The sequence below is a fragment of the Homo sapiens genome, chromosome 12 (genome assembly GCF_000001405.40).
Source record: "Homo sapiens chromosome 12, GRCh38.p14 Primary Assembly".
NCBI lineage: Eukaryota > Metazoa > Chordata > Mammalia > Primates > Hominidae > Homo > Homo sapiens.
The window spans coordinates 3,438,372-3,462,495 of record NC_000012.12 but is presented as its reverse complement, the minus strand read 5'-3'; the positions used below and the strand labels follow the sequence as shown (position 1 = coordinate 3,462,495).

The 24,124-nt window shown below is 46.7% G+C and overlaps 1 protein-coding gene and 1 long non-coding RNA gene across 2 annotated transcripts in view; one reads left to right on the top strand and one right to left on the bottom strand.

The window, feature by feature from the left end:
- Window positions 1-24,124, bottom strand: part of PRMT8 (protein arginine methyltransferase 8) — a 212,625-nt gene that overhangs the window by 131,478 nt on the left and 57,023 nt on the right. The gene's annotated exons all lie outside the window — the stretch shown is intronic.
- On the top strand, window positions 1,006-22,651 carry LOC124902862 (uncharacterized). Its single transcript, XR_007063166.1, has 2 exons — window positions 1,006-1,534; window positions 22,437-22,651. It is a non-coding gene; the product is annotated as an uncharacterized LOC124902862 (long non-coding RNA).

Below are 24,124 nucleotides of genomic sequence, written 5' to 3'. Positions count from 1 at the left end.
TAATAATGCCACACTGGACACTATCACCTATAGTTTAACAATGAGTAGCAAGTCATTCATCTAAGTTATTTCTGTAAATCAGTAAGATGGTTAACGAACAACCCAGTACCAGCCCACTCTGCCCCCTTCTTTTGCCTTTAAAAACCTTCTTGTGCTGTACATATACCATATTTTCTTTATCCCATTTGTCATTGAAGGGCATTTAGGTTGATTCCATGTCTTTGCTATTGTAAATAGCGCTGCAATGAACATTCACGGCATAAAAAGGAATGAGAGCATGTCTTTTGCAGGAGCATGGATGGAGCTGGAGGTTATCATCCTTAGCAAACTAACACAAGAACAGAAAACCAAATACCGCAAGTTCTCACTTATAAGTGGGCACTAAATGATGAGAACACATGGACACAAAGAGAGGAACAACACACACTGGGGCCTATCGGAGAATGGAGGTTGGGAGGAGGGAGAGGAGGAAAAAACTCTATTGGGTACTAGGCTTTGTACCTGAGTGATGAAATAATCTGTACAATAAACCCTCGTGACATGAGTTTATCTGTATAACCTACACATGTAATCCTGAACCTAAAATAAAAGTTATTTTTGTTTTGTTTTGGTTTTTTAAAAAACCTGCTTGTAACAAAGGCTGTAGGAAGCTCACAGCCAAGGGTATCTGGGACAGAGTCTTTCAGGCAGTTGTCCTCGTTTTGGTTCAAGTAAACTCTTTAAATTATACTTTGTGTCTCAGCCTCTTCCTTTTAGGTTAACACTGAGCAGAGTAAATAAACGAATGGCCCCTGCTTCTCTGTCTGAAGCTTGGACTCCTCTTGAGAGGACTTCCTGCTCTGAGATAGGAGGGAGTCTCGCTCAGAAGAAGGAGCTTGTGTCTGCTGAGGACACAGTTCCATCCAATGAGGTCAGCAGGGCTGTTGGCAGCTTCCGTTAATTCCGCTGGGGCAGACAAGTGGCAAGTGGCAGTTATTTGAGCTGAGGATGCTGGGATGGATTTTTACATGAGCAGTTGGCCCTTAAATCATGAGCCCAACTTAAGTGCCCAAGGAAATGGCACAGCAGGGAGAGGGACATCACACACACCACCAAATCCTCTTGTTAGTCTCTGGTTTCCACATCCTTTTCCAAATCTTCAGGCCAGCTCATAGCCTCACTTTTCCATCTCTTCTCCATTCCTCCAAAGTAGAGCTTCCTGCTGCTACAGGAATAGCTGCGAAGTGGGAAAGATCAAGGGTTGTAAGAGCTGCCCCAGATAATCTACAAAGAGCTTTGCTAGAATTAGGTTGTGCATCTCTGAACCTGAGCTACTACATGTGTTGGGTCAGGGACCATGCTTACCTACCAGCTCAAGAATTGACAGAGGAGGTATCTAAGAAATGCTTGTTGGATGAATAAATAAACAGCTGAGTGGGTGTTTATATGAGCCTGAAAACTGCCTGCACCAGCACAAAAGTAAAGCCCTGACACCCTCAGGCCACACCTACTGGAAAAAGATATGTCAGCCCCAGAAAAATGTGGGCAACTTGAGGTAAGTCCGGAGCAACACAGGAAACTGCCCTCCTCTTCTGTCTTCTCTTCCACTGTGATGCTCAAAATCTCTTCAAGACTGGTCATCTAATCAGCAGGATGTAAGACGGTCATTCTTCACTGTGGCCATTCAGAAGTTTCCTGGTAACCTGGCTTTCTCTTGACCATTGCCCCACGAGCATGGTGGTGACAAGCTTGGGCTCTGAAATCCGACAGCCCCAAGTTTGAAACCTATAGCTTCTTACTTGCTAGCTGTGAGACTTGGGCAAATTACTTAACCTTAATTTCCTCGCTCTGTAAAATGGGGATATAATATTGGGTAATACACTAAGCCTAATGTCAGGGATATAATTAGTGCTCAATAAATGTATCTCTATTACCCCCACATCCCATTCTGCCATTCCCTTCTTTCTCTTCCTCCCGCAAACCTCCAACTTCATCATTGCCTATGAACAGCCAAAAGGTAAAACAATCACAAAACTAGGCAGTTTTGGACAGCCCAGAAGTTGTTTACAAGTCTACAAGTAACCACTGCAGTCTGCCCAGCTGCCTGGTCTTCTGAAAAGCAAACTTAGAAGCCGGTGATGTCCATGATCTCACAGAATTTCCTAGGAATGACAGGGACGTGTATTCACAAAGTTACTCTTGACTCTTTAAAAGAAGACAACCATGTTTTGCTCCCATGATATCCCAAGGGGCACCTAGATTGCTGGGGGCCTGTGGTCCGAGAAGTAATGCCACCTGGAAAAGTGGGTGTGACTGGTTTAGGGTCCAGGTCTGAGAACTGGGGTAAGCCACTTCGTGTCTTAGTTCGCTTATGTGTAAAACAGAGGGATTGGACCAGATGATCAGTAAAGAAACTTCCAATGTTAAGACTTCAAGGGTAAATGGCTCTTTGATAGAGAGGGATCATAGAAAAGTAAGATCCACACAGCTTAACCTCCCAGGGGACAATTAAAATGCTTTCATGTGAAGTGAATGACGGTGTGGTAGGGTTTGACGTGAACGTAATGGCATAGGAGGGTCGGAGGGCACGGGGGCCTCTCAACCTCATTCTCAGCACCAGATGTAGTGCCTGGAGCATCTGAAGAGGGACTAAGAGATTCCGTCCTCACCCCAGCTCTAAAGATGCCTCCACCATGAGAAAGAGACAGGGAGTCCCTGACACTTTCTGCTCCCACCTTGGAAGACAGGGGAGGAGGAAGGCTCCAGCGTCTTCCATCACTGCTGCAGACACCAACCAACCCCCTGCCCTTCTCCCTGCTCCTCTGCTTCAACTCTCTCCTGGGCCCCCACCCCAAACAGCCCTCTGTTCCGCTTTAGATGTTAGCTGCACTTCACCTGTAAAACACCTTTCTTTGCCAAATTTGTCAAAAATTTTGGCATAGTGTTTGCATAAATTTGCAGGTAGGATTCCAGAGACCCTGACTCCGATGGTGTAAGAGAAAAAATCATGCCTGCACTTGCAGTCAAAGGAGGCTTTCAGGAGGGCACACTGGATTTGCTACACAGGGCTGGGAGAGGCACTCAGTTTGTGAGGCTGGGATGCCCTGACAGGAGCTTCCCCTCGATCGAGGAAATCGGAACTTTTTCAATGTTGGCTTCAAATCGTGGCTAATAGGCAGAAAAAAAGCTCTTCTCACCATGAGGGAAGACTGGGGAGGTGGGAAGGGGGACAGGGCCCATCTATTCCATCCAAGAGGGGTCAAGGAAGGACAGTGGCAAGCTCAAGTCTGGAGCTGTTTCCTCCCCATAGTGAAAGTCTGGTAACTTTACCCAGAAGTTCTGATTTTTCTAGTTAGCCAAACAGGGCTCTGATTTCCAAGATTAGGTTAAATCCAGAAGAGTTTGGGGGATGAAGGAATCTGGATGAACAATGGGAGGTGGAACCATTGCCCCACCATCAGCAACACCTTAACAGGAACAAACTCCTCTGCCCACTCGTCATATCCACAGTTTCAGAGAAGAGAATGTCCCAGCTAGAAAAGCAAGTGGACAAGTGCCAACCCGATGAGGCCACTGAATTGTGAGTGGAGACCTCTGAGCAACTTGGTAAAGAAAGCAGCCTCCCCCTGAGAAGTGGGGGGCTTGGGAAAACCTCCCCAGGTGAACAGACAGGAAGGAGGGGCTTAGTGACAGCCCTCGGAAGGGAGTGTCTATCCACTGGCCACAGTGATGACTGGGGTGACACCCATGCCACAGAAAAAACACAAAGTGCACCAAAGCCAGTTAGAGCAGACATTGAGTTTATTATTTGCCAAAGAAGAGGAGGGTCTGATTTCATTAAGAAAGGTCAGGGCAGCTCTCCAAACTGAAGTGGAACAGGACAGATATACTGTGGTAAAGTTTTGTTCAAAGGTCTGATTGGCTCAAAAAGCAAGATGTAAACTCTTTTGGGACTGGCTGCTGTTCTGATTTTGTGTCACAGAGGAACAAGCACGGCTCACAGGAGATCCTGGATGGGTCTGACCTGTGGTGCGTGGCCCTGGCAGGCTGGTGTCTGTGCCTCCTCTCGTCAAGGTGGGAGTTTTCTCTGGCACCCACTTGGGTTAAGAGTGAGGAGCCCTGGGGCCCATGGACCTGCTGCACAGCTCTGTGCCCATCAGCACCTGGCTCTCTGGTCCTCACCGCCAAGGATGGAGTGATATGCAGCCCTCCTGGCCACAGGGATGAGGAAACCTCATGAAAGCAGTTGGAGAATTTTGTTGGCATGTGACCATCATATTTTCTAACCATGAAAACTGAGTCACAGAGCGCCACGCCCCAGTAAGTTGGAGGATACACGATTAAAACACTGCTGAATAGCGGGGAACAAAAGGCAAACTGGGCCAGGCATGCTCACGCCTGTAATCCCAGCGCTTTGGGAGGCCGAGGCGGGCGGATCACGAGGTCAAGAAATCGAGACCAGCCTGGCCAACGTGGTGAAACCCCGTCTCTACTAAAAATACAAAAATTAGCTGGGCATGATGGCACATGCCTATAGTCCCAGCTACTCAGGAGGCTGAGGCAGGGGAATCACTTGAACCCGGGAGGTGGAGGTTGCAGTGAGCTGAGATCACACCACTGCACTCCAGCCTGGCAACAGAACGCTGTCTTAAAAAAAAAAAAAAAAAAAAAAAAGCAAACTGGAAAGACCTAAAGCAAAATTAATCATGTCCAAATCCAGATGGGGGGTTGCAGATCTTTATTTTCTTCTTTTTTGAATTGGTTTCCTACATTATTCTTCGCTATAATGGTATTCTATATTCTCCAAATTTTCAACTATGTGTGGTTCGAAACTATATTTAAAAAATGTTTTTCATGCAGCAAGGATGAGCTCAAGGTCAAGGTACTATAGATACAAAGATGTGCATAGGTCAGCCATGGTGGCTCACGCCTGCAATCCCAGCTCTTTGCGAGGCTGAGGTGGGAGGATTGCTTGAAGCCAGGAGTTTGAGACCAGCCTAGGAAACAGAGGGAGACCCCGTCTCTACAAAAATTAAAAATTAGCTGGATGTGGTGGCGCATGCACCTGTAGCCCCAGTTACTCAGGAGGCTGAGGTAGGAGGACCACTTGAGTCAAGAGTTCAAGGTTACAGTGAGCTATGATCCCTCTACTGCAGTCCAGTCTGGGTGACAAAGTGAGACCCTGTCTATAAAAGACAGAAAAAAAAATATGCTTAGCAAAGTCAGGACATTCTCCCAGAACAGCAGTTGAGAACTGAGAGCTTGTGGCTAAGCCTGGCAGCCTAGATAGGCCTTCCTCTGCCCTTCCACAGCTCTGAGAGCCCAGCAGTGCTCAGGGACACCAAGCCTGCCCTCACAGAGCTCACTCAGACACTGCTGCTGCAGACACCAAACAGCACCTCCCCTTTAGGAGATGCCTCCTCTGCAAACAAAACAAAACAAAACAAAACAACAGCACTCTTCTATTCACTCAAATCAGTGGTGGCACAATAGTCCCAGTGGTGGCGCTGGAACTCTATTTCTCCAGCCTTACAGTTGCCATGGCAGGCGAGGTCAGCGAGGCCAGAGCCCCCACCCCCTTAACACGGCTAGGACGTCAGCCACAGCAAGAAAAGACGCACCTGTCCTCTGTGTTTAAAGCCTTTAAGAGAGCCCCAGGTGCTGTTCTGTTGTTGATCTGCTTTCCTGGCTAGAGGGGTTCGATTCTCTTTGTTTGGTGACATTTTTTTTTTCTTGTTCAATCTTAGTCAAGGGTGTAAGAAACGGTGGCTGCTCCGGGCGTTGGCCCCTTCTCACGGGTTCCTCACTGCCCTCCCCTCCAGGCCAAACTAGCTCACCCCTGCACCCTCCCGCTTAAGGTCAGCTTCCCCACTGTCCACTCATTCCCTCGCCTTTCATCCTCACCCTGTGGGTAATTCAGACGGATGGTCCCGGGCGTTTCGCGAGGAGAAGGCTGTTGGTGAATTGGGGGATGATCGGGCTGCACAACAGATCGCTCGTGATGCCGAATGTGTGCTCGTGGGTCCTGCCCTCCCACCTGGGAGAGGAGTTTTGCTTGTGGCTTCAGAGTTTCTGGGAGTTCCTTGAAATTCTGTCGAAAACAGTGTGGGTGATGGATATGTGGGTGCTAGGGTTTTTCCCTCGGGAAGGGGATCCACGATCCAGAAAAATGTCGTGAACATTTATTTAATAGCTCCACTTTGTAAATGAACCACCCCCAGAGGAACTGTAGTTTGGGCCATGGAGAACAGTGAGGCCGGAAGAACTGCAGGCAAGGGGAGGCTGCCATTTCCCGCTCAAAGGTGGCGCTTGGTGTGCCAGCGCTGGCGTACTTGGATGTGGTCATCGGAAATGTGGTTTAAGTGAGGAAGAAAAGCACTCTTAGCACCTAGCTCATGGCCAGGAGTTGGGCTAAATAGTTTGTATTTGTCTTCCTGCGTCAGCCTCAGTTTCCCTGTGAGGTGTGACTTACTATCCTCATTTTACAGATGAGAACGCAGGCTCAGAGAAGTTAAGGGACTTGCCCTATGTCACACAGCTAGCAAAGAGACAGAGATAGATATAGAACTAGGACCACGTGGTCAAAGGAACGTGCTGTTTTCACGGCATCACGCGGCCCTGTCCCACCTATGGTGTCACTGAGGGGTGTGGTAGGGGGCACTGGCACAGACATGTCACCTGACCTCTTGGAGCTTCAAGTTCTTACACTTCGAAAATGGAAATAAAGTCCACCTGCCTTCCCTCCACTTTCTGGCTATTTGTCAAAGAGCAATTAAGAGAGCCAAGAGGACCAAGCCAAATTCAATGTAGCAGGCTCAACCCCACCCCCCGCTGACCCTCCAATTCCGGGAGAAGGTTCGGAGGTGAAGGTCCTTGGCCAGGTCTCCCAGGACCGAGCCCAGAGAGCAGGCTAGCGTGGTGCCTCCTCCATGCACACACCTACTCCCATGCATGTGTGAAGAGCTTGCATCACAGGGCAGTGAGTGGCATTTCTTTGTTCAGGGTGGCAAGGGGAAAGGGCGTGAGTCAATTCCCCTTAGGGAGAAGGAGGGCAGAGCACAAGTGAGGGCAGCATCGACGCCTGAAGCAGCTCACCCCTCCCTCCATCCTGTCTGTGGGTTCTCTTCCCCTCTTGCCTTCCACACCCCAAGCCCAGGCTAGAAGGCACCTCCCCTCACCCTCATCCTCCACTTCCAATCTGCAGCCACAAAGGGTGCGAAAATTAATCTGGTGCTTTCGTGAGGGACTGGTGTTATAGGACCAACAGGTTCGTATGCCCACTGCACAGGAGCAGACCAGTTACACAGTAACAGACCAGTTATGCCCACCGCACAGTAACAGACCAGTTACCAGTTAGGGCTGCAGCAGAGAAAGAGTTTAATGGTCACAGGGCACTGAGCTAAGAGATAGGAGGAGCCCCCAAACTCCATCTCCCCCAGGATTTCTGGGCTGGAGTCTTTAAGGGGACTGTGGAGGACAAGGGACTGGAGAATTGGAGCTGTTGATTGGTTGGGGTAAGGCGGATGAATTCACCAGAATGTAGAAACTGCATTCTTTGGTGCGTCAGCTCCTATGGGGTCCTTTAGACCAGCTGACGTGGTAATTTCACAGGTATGTAGGACCTGAAGGACTATCTCAAAGGGAAGACTTAACATTTCGTACTGCTCCAGTTGTTATCTGTAGGACCCTTAGGGTGACTATAACCTTGTAGCGGGGTCTGTGGGATTCTAGGTCAATAGGCAGCAAACAACACGAGGAAGCAGGTGGGAGCGCAGGCCGACCCGCGGTGAACACGAAGTGCGCTGCAAGCTGGGTTTGGTTTCACTCCTCCCCTTCCTTTTGTCCTGATTCATTTTATGAAGTTTATAGGGGTGGTTTCACTGGGAGTGCTGTGCTCCCTTTGAACTTGGTCTCCCGCTTGAGAAATGCCACATGCCGCTCTTGCCCGCCCCGTCTTCCCTGGCCCCTGCTCCTCCTCTCTCCTCCAGGGCTGGGCATGACGGGCTTCTTTTGTGGTTTAGTTTCCCTTCCTTCCTAGACACCCCCCTCCCCTAGAGTGCTTTTACATCACGTGGCCTCTGATTAACGTCAGTGATTCAAACCTTAAATATTCTCCCTCTGGAGTGAGTGATTCTTAGGGGAGCCCAGGTGGCTGCCTGCCCTCTTGCTCCCTGTGGCACCAACACCCTGGCCGGGGATGTCTGAGCCAACAGCAGCCGCCTTGAGGAACCAGGTCCTGGGAATCCATCCGCAGGCTCCCCGTCAGGGAGTCAGAAGAAGCGGCTTCAGGAGAAGGCAAAACAGAAGCCAAAAGACACAGGGCGCGGGGTGGGCGGGGGCGGCATTAAGCTGCAGGAGAGTGAAGAGACAGCAGGGGCTAGGAGCAGAGACAGAGCCAAGTCAGATGGGCCTCCGTGTTTGGCCCCAGGCCCCTTTGAGCCCCGTGGTGCTCCAGTTCTCTAGAGGCTGGGCTAGGCTGACGCCCGCATTGCTGTGCCTGGCCTTCCTGCAAACCCTCCGCCCTGAGGTGACCCGAGCACGTCGCTGCTTCTCGAAACCTGAAAAAGCCCATGGTAAATGTGCCATGAGGAGCACACGAGGCACCCCGTGTTGAACGCTGAGGACAAGGCTGCACCCGAGGCTGCAGTCATTTTCAATCGCCGGAGCAGGGCCGGCGTCGGAAGCCCAGACCTAGCATAGCAGGAGCTGAGAAATAGACACAGCGGGCAGGAGGACAAGGGGGTCCACAGTCGGGCCACGTCAGGACACAGACCACAGGGTGCCGCAGGAGATGTGTGGGCAGAACAGACGAGGAGACAGCCAGCATGGCTGCGCCCCAGCATTTGCCCTGGCTGTGAAGGGCAAGCTCCTCTCCTAAGGGTGTCCCCTGACCGCGCTCACCAGTTCCTGACCCAGACACCTCATTCTCAGCCCTACTTCAAGGTCACGATGGCATGCGGAATGCAGCGTCTGGCTTCCCCAGGAGAAAGCAGGGCCTCTGAGGTCAGAAATCATGTCCTACGGCACCGCACAGTCCCAGCAGCAGTAGCCTCCAGGGGACTCACTCAGACTTGGCAGGGCTGGCCTGGGAATCTGCATTCCCCATGCGCTCCCTCACCTGCTGACGGCGACACCCAGCCACCAGTGCAAACTCTACCCCTTGGGGATCTGCTGCCAGACTCAACACTGGGGCCCGAGGCCCAGGAGTCCTAAGGGTGCTGTTTGGTCATATTAGGCCTGTGTAAAGGGAGCCAGGACTAGAGTGAGCGAGGGGCGTGGGGAGGGAAGGAACCGTGGCTTCCCTGCACCCTTTCAGCAGCTTCCATGGTTCTTGCTGGCCTTTTCCATCACAGGCCACTCTTCAGGACGGTCTCCCGGACTGACCCCTCTCCTCTCCAGCCTACCTGATTCCCCGTGCAGTGTCCTCTGTGCATCCCTCATTTCATCTCCTTTCATGTGATCCCAGTCCAGGGTTTAGCTTCCCTCCCCTCTTAGGCTGTAAGCTCTGAATAGGCAGGAATGTTTTCTTTGTGTGGATTTTTTGTTTGTTTGAAATGCCAAGTAAGCTGCCACTCTGCCTGTCGGTCAATGGGACTTGCCGAATTGTCCTCTCACCACCCCACTCGCCCTTAAAGATGCTGACTTCTCAGGCCTACAGTTATTTCCACAGCAGCCTCCTGGCAGCCAGCACTTCCCAGCAGGACCTAAGCTGTGGCTTTACCTCTCCTCTGCCTTGAACGTTCCCCAGTCCAGGTCTTCACCATCTGGTGAGGCCTGACCTGAGAAGCCCAACCTGGTGAGGCAGAAGTCCTGGGAAGAGGCCCAGAAGACAGCAGACCCTGTTCCTAGGATAAAGCAACGTGCTTCTGGGCTATACAACTGCCCTGCAGGTGACAATCCTGAGATGTGAGGCTGTTAGTTACCACAAGGGGATTAGAGACCTGGAAGGGACCAAAAGAGGCCACCTAACCCAGGTTCTGCCCCTGGACAGGTGATCCCCCAGCCCAGGGCAGCTTCCGAGGAGACCGCTTAGGACATTAATTCTCGGATCTATCTGGTGGGAAAATGTATGAAAAATGTGGCTAGAAATAATTCTCAAGTTCCATTGAAGACTTCTAAAGTTTCCTGTGCTCTTGCATGTTGCCAGTAAGTGGTCTCCTTGTGGGGTGTGTGTGTGTGTATGTGTGTGTGTGTGTGTGTTTAATTTAGGTTCAGGGGCACATGTGCAGGTTTCTTAAATAGGTAAACTTGTATCACAAGGGTTTGTTGTACACTTATTTCCTCACCCAGGTATTAAGCCCAGTACCCATTAGTTATTTTTCCTGGTCCTCTCCCTCTTCCCACCCTCTGTCCTCAAGGAGGCCCCAGTGTGTGTTCTTCCCCTCTGTGTGTCCATCTTTGTGGTCTTTGAAAGCAACTAAGAGGGTACCCATTTTCTCAGCTCAGCTGTCTGGAAGCCAAGCAGGCCAGGCACTTTCTTCCTAAAGAAAATTGCAGGCCATGGGAGGCGTTTTTCATCCTAACAGTCACTAATAGTTTTTGACTGGGTGTTGTACAGCTTATTTATGTGGAGAAGCCGCATCTATCTTCTCTACTCCTCAACTGCCAGGCAGAGAAAAATGGCCACAGTTTTCTTCTGAAACACCATGAGGCACAATGGATCAAGGATATGACTGGAATCAAGGAAATTAGCAACGTCAAGACACTCCAGTTAAGGCAGTTCCCATGGAAAATGTTCCAGAGGTTTCCTTTAAGTGAATCAACATGTAGGTGGAAAAGTAGAGTCCTCACGTCATCATCAACAGCACTGCGGCCTAAGCGGGTGGGAAAATGCATAGCTCTCTCGGCTAACCAACTCTATAGGATGTCTAACTGTTGGAGCACGAAAGCACAGCTAAGCACCCATGTATGCCTCATGGCCAGTTTGAGTCCTTGTAGGTCAAGCAACCAGAGAAAATAGGCAGCCTCCTGAATGTTGGCTGGGCAAAAGCCAACTTAGAAAACAAGAGCAAATATGCCAACAATCATAAAACATTGTTCAAGCTGAGCATAAAAAGGATCTTTTCTGCACATGAACGTGTGTTAGACGCTCTACAGAGTGCTTGCAAACAGCAGGACGTGGTAGAGCACTGCACTGGGAATCAGAAGACCTGAGTTCTAGATCTTGTTCTTCCACAACTAGCTGCAAGACTTTGGGTGTGTCACTCCCGCTTTCTGGGCTAAATATGCTCATCTGTAAGCTGAAGAAGCTAGATTAAAGCATCTCAAAGGGCCCTTCCAGCCTGAAATCTTGAATCCATGACTACTTCCTTGGCAGTTTGTGAGCCAATCACATAAATAGAGCTCCTGTGCCCTCATTTCTAACTCTTGTGGCAGTTTTAGTTCACCATCAAAGTAAAACAACATTGGCGTAGACCAGCAATGTGTTCTAGGCATCCCTGGGGTCCCAAAACCTTTCGGCGGGGGGGGGGGGGGGGGGGGGGTGTCAGCAAGATCAAAACTGCTTTCATAATAAAACTAAGATGTGATTTGCCTTTGTCCCTTGTTGACATTGCACTAAAGTTGCAAGAGCAGTGGTGGTGAAACTGCTTTGCCTTAGCACAAATCTAGGCAGTACTTGTGTTTCTAGTCATCATAGTGTTTACAGCTGAGTGCTTGCAGAAGCAAAAGAAAGCCAATTTCACTTGGAAATGTCCTTGATGAAACAGTAAACATTTTAATTATATTAAATCTCAACTTTGGAGTACACTTTTTAAAATAGTCTCTGTGACAATAAGAGAAGTTCACATAAAACATATCAAAGCATGATAGTTGTCTTGAGGAAAAGCAGTGTGGAATTGAGTTGCAGGCTAAACTAGCCACTTTTTACATGGAACATTATTTTTACTTGAATTAACAATTTATGATCTATGGTTATATAGACTTTGGTGTTTGATAGCCATTTTCTCAAAATTAAGTGAGCCATTCACTTCAAGAAAGAAAACTGATAGTAATTTGACCAATGATACAACCTGAGCTTTCAAGAGGAAATTGGAATTTTGGAAAACCTGCATCTGCTATTGTGTCCTTGAGAGCTTTTCAGTACTTAGAAACATTTCTAAGGTTAACAAATGTAATTTCTCTTGTATAATGAGACTTGTCAACATTTAAAAGAACAGCATAAATATTTTCCAAATGACTAGTATACGATGTTACAAAATCTCATATGGGTAAAAGATCCATTCAACATCCAAGATAAACCAATACATTTTAATGTAACAGAGTAAGAAAAGTGTATTGATGTGGTTTCAGATTCCACATTACAACAAACATTTAAGAAACCACCACTTTTTGAGTTTTGGTGTAGTATCAAAGAAGAATATCCACTATTATTATCTTTAAAAGCTATTAAGATACGCTTTCAACTATCTATCTATGTAAGGCTGTAATTTCACCATCCACCTCAACCAAAACAAGATATGGCAACAGAATAAATGCAAAAGGAGATATAAGAATCCAGCTCTCTTCTATTAATCAAGACATTTAAAAGGATTTCCTATTTAATAAATGGTGATGGGAGAACTGGCTAGCCATAAGCAGAAAATTGAAACTGGACCCCTTCCTTACACCTTATACAACAATTAACTCAAGATGGATTAAACACTTAAATGTAAAACCCAAAACTATAAAAAGGCTAAAAGAAAATCTAGGCAACACCATTCAGGACACAGGCAGGGGCAAAGATTTCATGACAAAAACGTCAAAAGCAATTGCAACAAAAGCAAAAATTGACAAGTGGGATCTAATTAAAGAGCTTCTGCACAGCAAAAGAAACTATCATCAGAGTGAACAGATCTCATAAAGAATGGGAGAAAAAGTTTGCAATCTATCCATCTGACAAGGTCTAATATCCAGATTCTACAAGGAATTTAAACAAATTTACAAGAAAAAAACAACCCCATTAAAAAGTGGCCAAAGGACATGAACAGACATTTCTCAAAAGAAGACATTTATGCAGCCAACAAACATATGAAAAAAAGCTCAACATCACTAATCATTAGAGAAATGCAAATCAAAACCACAATGAGATACCACCTCAAGCCAGTCAGAATGGAAATTATTAAAAAGTCAAGAAACTACAGATGCTGGTGAGGCTGTGGAGAAATAGGAACTTTTTTACACTGTTGGTGGAAGTGTAAATTCATTCAACCATTGTGGAAGACAGTATGGCAATTCCTCAAAGACCCAGAACCAGAAATACCATTTGACCAGCAATCCCATTACTGGGTATATACCCAAAGGAATATAAATCATTCTATTATAAAGATACATGCACACGTATATTCACTGCAGCACCATTCACAATAGCAAAGACATGGAATCAACACAAATGCCCACTAGTGATAGGTTGCATAAAGAGAATGTGGTACATATACACCACAGAATACTATGCAGCCATAAAAAGGAATGAGATAATGTCCTTTGCAGGGACATGGATGCAGCTGGAAGCCATTATCCTCAGCAAACTAATGCAGGAACAGAAAACCAAACACCGCGTGTTCTCACTTATAAGTGGGAGCTGAACAATGAGAACACATGGACACAGGGAGGGGAATAGCACACACTGGGGCCTATGGGGGTGCAAGGAGAAGGAGTGCATCAGGATAAATAGCTAATGCATGTGGGGCTTAATACCTAGGTGATGGGTTGATAGATGCAGCAAACCACCATGGCACATGTTTACCTAGGTAACAAACCTGCATGTCCTACACATGTATCCTGGAACTTAAAATAAAATAAAATAAAATTTTTAAAAAGATTTGCAAAATAAAAAAACGGTGGTTTTCATTTAGGGTGATGTTTTTCTCTCTCTCCATCTGTCCAGGGGATATCAGGCGACTTTTTGGTTATCAAAGTGGGATACTATCATCTAGTGGGTAGAGGCCAGTGATGCTGCTCACCGTCTACAATGCACTGGAGAACTTCCTACAACAAAGAAGTATCTAGTCCAAAATTTCAGTAGTTCCAAGGTTGAGAATTCTGATACAAAATAATGCCATTCTTCTCACTAAATTTTTTGTTTTGAACATATGTATGTTAGCTTATTATTTTAAATGAACTAATTTTTAAATTTTCCTTATTTAAATTTGTAATACAATAACTATCAATAGATATAACCCACATAAACAAAAGCTCTTTGGTGCCCTCAATGATTCTTAAGATTATAAAGGGGAACCAAGCATGGTGGCTCACGCCTGTAATTCCAACACTTTGGGAGGCCAAGGCAGGAGGATCACTTGAGGCTGGGAGTTCGAGACCAGCCTGGGCAACATAACAAGACCCCACCTCTACAAAAAATTTAAAAAAGAAAAAATCAGTCAGGCATAGTGCCACATGCCTGTAGTCCTAGCTGCTCAGGAGGCTGAGGCTGGAGGATCGCTTGAGCCCAGGAGTTAAAGGATAAAGTGAGATATGATCGATCACACCACTGCACTCCAGCTTGGGCAACAGAGCAAGAACCTGTCTCACAAAAAATTGTAAAGGGAGTCTGAGGCCAAAACGTTTAACTCTAGATGTAGACAATCGACCATAGAGATTAGAAAAGTCAGTGTGCTAAGCCTCCCTGCACATCCGTCCCTATAAAAATCAGAAGCATGGCAGGTGTGCCCAAGTACATGTAGTTTTCTCCTTAAGAAAAGAATTGTCTAAAATGAGGCAATGTAAAGAGGTCAGTGCAGGGGTGAACACCAATTTAAGCCTTGATGATGTGTCAGGGTTTGTGATGGCTACAAGGAATGTAATCATGACTGAAATTCCTCATTATTCCAAAAAAGCTATTGTCTAGAAGGAGAGAGAGACAACTGAGATTTTGCTTGACATGTGGTAGGGAGAAGCGGGGTGGATGCACGGGTACAGGAGGTCAGTGGGCAGGGGCTTGGGTTAGAGATGAGGCAAGGGGACAAGACAGGCTTCCTGAGAAAGAGATGTCTGTGCTGCGTCTTGAAGGATGAGTGGGAATTTGGTGACTGAGTGCGAGAGGCACTGCGGGAGAGGGGGGCGCCTCAGCTGTGGGAACAGCATAAGCAAAGGCCCAGAGGTGAGAACCAGCATGGAGTATTTGAAGAAGACAGGAAAGCAGATAGAGAAAACAAAAAACAGACTGGAGTGCACCCCCAACAAAACAAATGTAATGTCCCCAATAAAATTAAGATTGTTTGAAAATCAAGAAAGAGCAGCACTGCTGACATCAAACATCTACTCTGTTTTTGGAAGAGAATAGCTGCTTCATAACTTCGGTGCACAGATACAAGCGCCTGTTTTGGAAAGCAAAATGAGACTCTGCTCTTGAATCTCGATAAAAAGGGAAATGCTCCTGCCACCCCTTCCCCTTCCAGGTGCTTTTCGGTCTTTGCACGGGTTCTGTCTCTGGCTCACGAGGGCTGCCCAGAGTGATCACTGTGGGTGAACAGGTCCCTGGGAGCTAAGGGAGGAGGAGGAAAGCCCACCCGCTCAGGGCTCCTCAGCATGGACCCCAGGACTTCACTTCACATGGTTCATAAAGGGGATGTATGGTTAGTTCATACCACACATGTGGAATTGTTTTTCCCAGCAAAGGAGTCAGTCAAGGTGGTTGAATGTTTATTTTGGAAGCAGCGGATCAACACCATTCTGAAAAAGCAGTATGCTCTTCTAAAGCACATGGGGCAAAGGGAGGCCCCGCGTGGTACATCAAATAAAAGAGGAGAGGCAAGAGAAAGGGAACATTTTCTGATGGTAATCCGTGCCCACCTATTCCCACCAACAGCTTCCATCAAAGGTTGAACTGACCCAAAAGACACTCCGGCATTTGCCCAGGGATCCCCAGGGAGAAGTTGGCCTTTCCAACAGGCATTGGTGGATGGCAGAAGAAACCTATATGACACACAGCTGGGACTCCGTTTCCAATAGAAGTCTGATGGAAAGTCCTGGAATTAAAGAGGGCTAGACAAGTCCCCAGACCAGGGACTTGGGTCCCTCAGAAGGCCTGTGCAGGTTGGTGGCAACCTCGGCTGGTGTTTACCAGAACAGCATGTGGCTGAGGGAGCGCAGCTGCAGCTGGAGCAAGATTCTGCAGGCAGTCAGGCTGGGGGCCGAGGCGGTGCCCACAGAGAGAGCCGGCTCACAGTAGTCTGCAGGTCGAGAGGATTCTACAGACAGGAGCAGGTTGAGATGGGACTCTCAGAGCAGACTGGGGGCAAGCAGGAAAGGAATAAGGATTTGACTGGAGAGACAGGAGGTGAGTCTGTCCTTCCAAGCAAAATAATTCAGCAACAGGCCACCTAACATAAAGGATTTCATTCTTAGGGACCTGGCCTTAAACCCCTCTTGCCAGTAATCTGGTGGTCTAGTGTCATTCATGGGCTTTAGGAACATCTATGGGCCAAGGAGGGCAGTGCATGTGCCCAAGGAACTGAGGGTGGGGAGGGGGAGTGGGCCACATTTCCCCAGGAGGGCCTTGGCTGTCCCTCTCCACTGATCCAGGATGCTGTAGGAGGCCTGATAGTGAAGGCTTATCAATCTAGTCTCTGAGTCCCAGTGGAATCATATGGGTACCCCCTACCAATGGGGCCAGGAGGTAGGTGGCTCAGGACGGCTCTCCTAAGTAGTCTGATGGTCTCACAGCTGACCGCAGTAAATATCGCCTTGGTGTTTACTCCACCATTGCAAACAAGTAGGTTCCTGTTTCACCAACAGATGTGCACCTTGCACACATTATACGACACATGCATGTGTATGTGGGGCCACTGGAGAGTATTTCCTTTTCAGAATCTCCAGCGTCGGAAATATTTAGTCAGAACAAATGACTGTGTGCAGAGCCGTTCCTTCAACCTTTTCTCTTCATGCCTTTTAAGCCCATCAGGCAAGCAAATGGAGCTGATCAGCATTGCCCTGATCCCTGTGGAGTAACACCGAGAGCTATTTGTCTACACAGGCTACCTGAAGTCAGTGGCTGAAACACCATAGCTGCAGTAGTAACGATTGCTGTTTGAGGAATAGCTAAGAGTGCCAGGCACTGGGCTAAGTTTTACAAATATTAACTCATTTAATTAGCAGTAGCTGATATGGCATTTTATAAGCAACTTTAAATCAATAAAGTGAATTACCTGTGTTTGGCGACTAATCAAACACAAAGGTTATGGCATCAACTCACTATTACACCACACTCTGGGCAGGCCCAGCCCTCCCAGGGGAGGCAGTGGCTAAGCTGCAGGCTACCTGGATCACTCCTCCCCGGCCACCTTTCCCTGGGCACCAGGAGGGTTAGCATTTCCCTCTCTACATGCTAGTTTTGTTTAAATAGTGACGACAATGAGGAGAACCCATGAGGCAATGTGGATGTAACTCTGAATTCATTATTTACACACTTGGTCTGATTAAAAGCAGGAGCAAGCGGTCTCCATACTAGAGGCTGTCTCCAAGCCACAGCTCCAAATAACCTTTTATGCTTCACTCAAAATCTCCCCTTCCTACCAGTCATTCCTTTCTCTGGCACAAAGCCCTCCCTTCCCCATCACCCCTAACCTTCCCTAAAGGGAACGAGGGGATCACAGGTGGTCGAGCTCCAGATGACCATGGGCTTCCACTACCCACTGTCTTTTCCTTGCAACGCCATAGCCCCGGGTGGGGTTTGCTGCCAGGCACCCGAAGGGGCATGTGCAGGGCAGCCCCAATGCAGCTTTTCCTCAGCTTGGCCCTCCATATTCGTCCCTTCCACTCTTGCCATTGGGCAAAGGCAATCTCCCACGGAACTGCTGGGTTTTCTCCTTGTTTGACTCTCTTGCTCCACGATGCCCAGTGGCCTGTACAGATTCTCTTAAATGTGCCAGCCTAACTCCTTAAATAGAAATTGTGCTAACTGGCATGACCTGGATGCCTTTCCCTTCACCTGTCATATAGACTTGACCTCTAAATTTCCCCTCTAACCAAGACCTTCGCTCAACATTTGCTGATCACAAAACATGCCTAGAAGAAACAGAATATGACCAGAGTGTCAGGTTTTGCAAAAAGACTAAAAGTGGGTGACTTCGGAGGAAAGCTCCTTGCCCCTCTAGGATTTTGTCCTAGCAAGTCTAGCTCTGGGGCTGCTTAGGACAGTGGTCTCCAGGCTGTTACCTGGGCTAAGTGTCCTTCCCCTTCTTCCTGCTTGCCTTAGAGGTCTGCAGGCCAAAACAGTACTAAAAGCAAGGCGGCAGAGTCAGATGAAGTCAACACTAGGCCAGGAGGGCACTGCATGCAGGTCAGGAGTGTTTACTAAGCATCTGGGACGAGGACTTTTCTTGATCCAGAACCGCTGGAAAAAGCTCCACAGCACATCTGATGAGAAAGGAAATTAACCCAAGTCCTTGTCTGGGTTCTGGGCTAAGAGGAGATAGGACAATGAACCTCTCATCACTGGCCATTTCTATACATATACAGAAATGCATGAAGACTTTTAGATGGTGTTGTACATAATATAATGAAAATATAACAGGGAGATGTGATAGAGTGAATGGCAGGGAGAGCCTTACATCGAGTTTAAAGCAATGATGTTTAGGCCGAACTTAGACGAAAGAAATGCCTTGTCTTTTGAGGGGCATGGATTACAGGAGAGAGAGCTAATGCAAGTCTCTAAGGCAGGAACAAACTTGGGGGACAGACACAAAAGCAATCGTGGCTGAACCATATGGGGTCCAGGGGTTGGAGGTGGTTGGCAAGGCCAGGTGCTGATAAGGTTGGCAGGGTCCAGGCCTGTGCAGCCTCTAGGGAGAGGGGTCTCAATTTCATTGCAAATCTGATTGACAAGCCTTGGAAGGTTTAAACCAGGAGGATGATGTGATCGATTTACTTCATAAAGATAACTCCAGCTGGTCTAAGGAGAACATCTGAAGGGGGAGAGAGCACAGGCATGAAGACTGAGTAGGAGGCTGTTGTAGTGCTCCAGGCAGGAAATGATGGTGGCTTTGGCCAGGCTGGACGTAGTGGAAAGGGAGGGAAGTGTATCCATTCGGAAAATGCTTTAGAGGTCTCTTGGCAAGACTTTATGGTGAATTGGATGTGAGTTAGACAGGAGAAGGGAATCAAGGATGAACCTCTAAGGTTTTGGCTTAAGCAACACTGGGCAAATGGTGGGGCCATTAATCGGGTGGAGGGGAGAGACAAAGCCGGTTTGGGGGATGGGGGAGGCACCGTCATTAAGAACTCTGTTTTTGGACATAGTGAATTTGGTTATTAATAGCTTATAAAGTTTAATGCTATCACTGGATCCATAACACCTGCCAGGAACTGTGGCTTTTTCACTGGGGTGTTAAGTTCCACTGGGAAAAACATCGGCAGCATCCACAGTGTGAGATGTCATCCTCAAGGGCAGTAGACAATAGCGTTGTCTTAGGATCACTCATTCATTCATCCATTCATCCCACAAACACATAGGTGTTAATTCCAGAAAGAAAGTCCCTCCATTTAAAAAATGACCTATAGGGGACTTTAGATTCAGAATCTATCATTTTACTTTTTTAAAAATTATCTTTCTTAATAGATATGGACATAGAAAAGTACAAATAAGGCCGGGCGTGGTGGCTCACACCTATAATCCCAGCACTTTGGGAGGCCGAGGCGGGTGGATCACCAGGTCAGGAGTTCGAGACCAGCCTGGCCAACATAGTGAAACCCCATCTCTATTAAAAATACAAAAATTAGCCAGGTGTGGTGGCACACACCTGTAGTCCCAGCTACTCAGGAGGCTGACGCAGGAGAATCACTTGAATCCGGGAGGTGGAGGTTGCAGTGAGCCAAGACCATGCCATTGCACTCCAGCCTGGGTGACAGAGTGAGACTCTATCTGAAAAATATACAAATAAGGCCATCACCTAGTTTAGGAAATGCATCCAAGCGGTGGCCCTGGCCTGGGCTCCCTAGCCTCATACCCGTTCCAGGCCAAGCCCTGGTACCCCATTCTCTTTGCAGCATAGATGGGAAGCTTCTGTTTCCCATCCCAGGAGAACAGGCAGCCGCACCAGGAGGGACTGGGCTGTTCACATGGGGTGACAGATCAGGAAAGATGTCACCAAGAGCCCAGGCAGAGCTGCCCCAGCCAGCTCCCCTTTTCTCTGCCTCCCTACACAGAGTTCTGGGAGGCAGCCTCTGAAAAGTCATTGTCCTTCATGCCTTTGTTTTTTTTTTATTCTTTCTCATTTTCAATCTTGTATTTCTGTTTTTTCGGTTCAAAAGAAAAAATAACAGCCACCCTATCGTTAGCTCTTTGACTTTATCAAGCCTTTGGATTTTCTGAGTTGCAAAACATCTTGTTCCAATATTACTTCCGTTGTTCTGCTTTCCTTGAGTTACTTTTTGTCCCATTTCTAGCTTTTTTAGCTTGATGCTGAGTTGCCCAATCCGTTTTCACACTTTCATTTTTAGTTATGTTAAGAATTCGGTGCTATGCATTTTCCTCTTTGAATAGCATTTGCTATGAGTTTGGATGTGTTGTGTTTTCATGGTTAGTATTTTCTGGATAGTTGTTCGGTTTGGGTTCTGATGATTCTCTGATCCAGAGTTTATTGACGGGAGGTTTGTGATTTCCACAGTTGCTGTTTTTACTTCAATTTCTGTTACCTGTTTCTAAATGTACTGAAATGTCATTACAGAAAATGATCTCCATTAGAGAATTGTACTTTTCAAACAATTTTTAGGTCCTCTTTGTAGTTTAAGGGTGAATTTTGGGGAATGGCATGTGGTCACCCAAAGCTAAACATTTGTTAAATATTCCCAATTACATTGCACGAATATTCGACATCCACAGGAGTTCTGAACTCTCCTAATGGAACCATCTGCTGCGTCAGCAGTGCTTTGTGAGTGACTCCTCAGGGATGGCCAGTGCTGGCTTTGTCCCTCATCATTAATTCCCTCATGAATTCCTCTGCAGGCATGTGGAGCACGGAGCACCCTCTGTGTGCCAGGCCTTTCCTGGGCACTGGGGAGACACAGGGTATGAGGCCCAAAGGTTACAGGTGGCCTTGTGATGGCCACGCGGGCAGTAAGCAAAGGCATTTTGGAAACAGAAGGAACAGCAAGTGCAAAGGAAGGGGAGGTTGGCTCCTCTGGAAAAGGGGAGCCCTGGCAGCGTTGAGGAAACGTGAGTTGTTTATTTCATCAGAAATATGTCTTCCCCACTCTCTCAGAAAGAATGAAAAGACCTTGGTTTTTCTGTATGTACTTACTAATACATTCATTATGAAACAAACAAAATACTTTTAAAGAGATGCTACAAAAGTAAAAAAAAGTTCTTAATACATAACTGTAGTGATTAATTATATAAAAATGTCTGCCCTCGTTAAAATATTATCTGTAATCATATTATTTGTGAGAGCAATGTGGTAGAATTTGCATCATTTTTTACATGCTGGAGTTATACTTTGAGATACATCAATTCAAATATCCCATATATCAAACTTTTGATAATCAATTCAAAAGTTCCATTTATGTTCATGCTTGCTAATAATGATTGTCAGAGCTGAAAAAGATAACTCACAAGGGCGCAATTGGCACACCGAACAAAGAGTATTGTTAACAAGAGGAAGTAAATCCCTATCTTTAGAGAATTGGGGGGTTTAAGGCAAGTTCTTGTCTGATCCAATTAGATCGTCATTGTTTTTAGCTCATGATGACACTGATGGAAAGATTATTCCAGGCACAGAAGGAGGGTTGATTCTGCCATTTTCTTGCTGTTTTCTTGTCCTGGTATAATTACTGTTCTTCAACCTCCCCATTTCTTTGCAGGAATCTTTAGAGCACTCATTCACTTCTTGAGAGTTTCTTTGGTTCAAACTAAATAATACAATGTAATGGAGCATTGGCAGATTGTGGAACACTGCAATATGAAAGCTAACAAACTAGTCAGGAGGCCACTGTACACACCTTTGTATAATGAACCTCCTCCTTTCCCCAGTAACATAGCTGTGATGTGACTGTCTGACATCACATGTATGTTACTGGGGAAAGGATAGTGACCAGTCACTATCTAAATAGGTTTTGTTTTGTTTTGTTTTGTTTTGTTTGTTTTGACGGAGTCTTGCTCTGTCTCCCAGGCTGGAGTGCAGTGGCGCGATCTTGGCTCACTGCAACCTCTGCCTCCCAGGTTCTAGCAATTCTCCTGCCTCTGCCTCCCAAGTAGCTGGGACTACAGCCGCGTGCTGCCATGCCTGGCTAATTTTTTTTGTATATTTAGTAGAGACAGGGTTTCACCATGTTAGCCAGGATGGTCTCGATCTCCTGACCTCATGATCCACCCGCCTCAACCTCCCAAAGTGCTGGGATTACAGGCGTGAGCCACCACGCCCGGCCTAGATAGGTTTTTTAAAAGATAATATAATCATCAATTATCAAGGTCTAATATCTTCATTTTGCACCTTAATGGTCTGTGTGGGGACCCCCATGTAAAGACCATTATATTTGTTTTCCAGATGCAGAAAGATGACGCACAGAGAAGTGGCAGCCTGCTCCAGTTCCCGTAATTAAAGATTACAGTCAGGATTGGAGCCCGAGGTCCTAACACCCAGTGCTCTCTCCACACTACCGTGGTGCCCGACTCATACTTCTGCCACGACCACCCTCTCCATTTCTGGCCCTGTTTGAAACCCCTAATTCTCACTGAAAACAATAAATCCTCCAAAATTAAGACAACACTTTCACACACAGTAGAGCAAATGGGTGGATGAGAACAAATTTATCCACAGCAGAGACAATACAGGCACTCTGTGGTTCCCGTTAGGTTAAAGTTGAGCCCCCTAGAGACACCCCCACCTTTGTTTCTCATGTGAACCCCTCTGAGTCAAATAGTAACAACAGCAGTTGCTGTGAATGGAAGTTATAACATTGAACTCCTGACTCTTGAAAAGTGTACATTGTATAGTGAACACTGTAACAGTGAGCCAGCAAAGGAGTTTTTCTGCTGCTGAGTCCATCAGGAAAGTCACTGGGATGTAAGCTGAGAAAGGGAGAGGGTGAGGTTTCAGAGAAATAAGGGAGTCATTTAAAAATACGTTTGTTTAGTTTGTTTTTAACGGTTACAGAACAATAGACAATAGAGCCAGGTGTCTCAGTGACATCTCTCAAGCTTTCCCAAGGTGTAACATGACTGACAGCCCATTCTGTTGAGACCACCGGTACCCAGGAGAGACAGGGAGAGAAAGAGACCACCTAGAATAGTGTCATCTGTGCAAATAAGAACATTAAAACAGATGGGTGGAGGGAGCCAATGAATTCAAGACTTATTCAAGTTTAAGTGAAAACAAGTCATACAAAGTTGAGATAAAATATAGAACAGAGTTAGATTTATTTTTACTGCTTTTATTATCTAGGTCACAAAAAATATAAATGAAATGTAAACTACACATCCAAAGGTATGCATGATACATAAAATTAACTGGCATGTGGCCAACTGTGATTTTCTTGCAAATATTTTCCTTAGGGGTTAATGTTTTTAAAATACATCTTGCAAATCTATGTGAAAAACTTTAACATCCAGTGGAAATGTGGACAGTGTTCTTGAACAGAAAATCACAGAAATTAAAATATTGTTGAAAGTTAAATGTTCCCCTTGTAAAAAAGGAAAGAAAAAATAAAAAGAAATGACCATCAATTTTAAAAGGACATTTAATGCCAAGAAAGTAATCCCTGAATCCCAAAGGGCAAAGAACATCCCCATAAATAGAATATACTTAGCTCTATGAAACTCACCACTCTGTTCTTATTTTTCTCATTTCACTGCTAACCAGTGACTGAAGTCAGTCTGGGTCACTATTCGAACTACTGACCTAGAAAGTTCTGAGTGCATAGATAAGTAAACCTGTGCAAATGGACGGAGGGGTCCTAATCCACATAAACACCCAGGATTGCTGGGATAGCAAAGGAATTTGTCATCAGTGCATTTGTCTGGTGGCTCTGAGGCCTCGTGGGAGAAACAGAAGACATTGGGACTACCCGCCCCACTTCTGGACCCTAGGACGAAGAGGCTCTATCAAAAGACCTTGTTGATATCATGGCGGGAAGGGAAGCTGCCCATGAAAGCAGGTGTCATGAGAAGAACACTCTGCCCTGGAGGGCAGCAAGCTGTCAAGGCTGACGGCCCGACCCCACGTGCCCTAAGGAG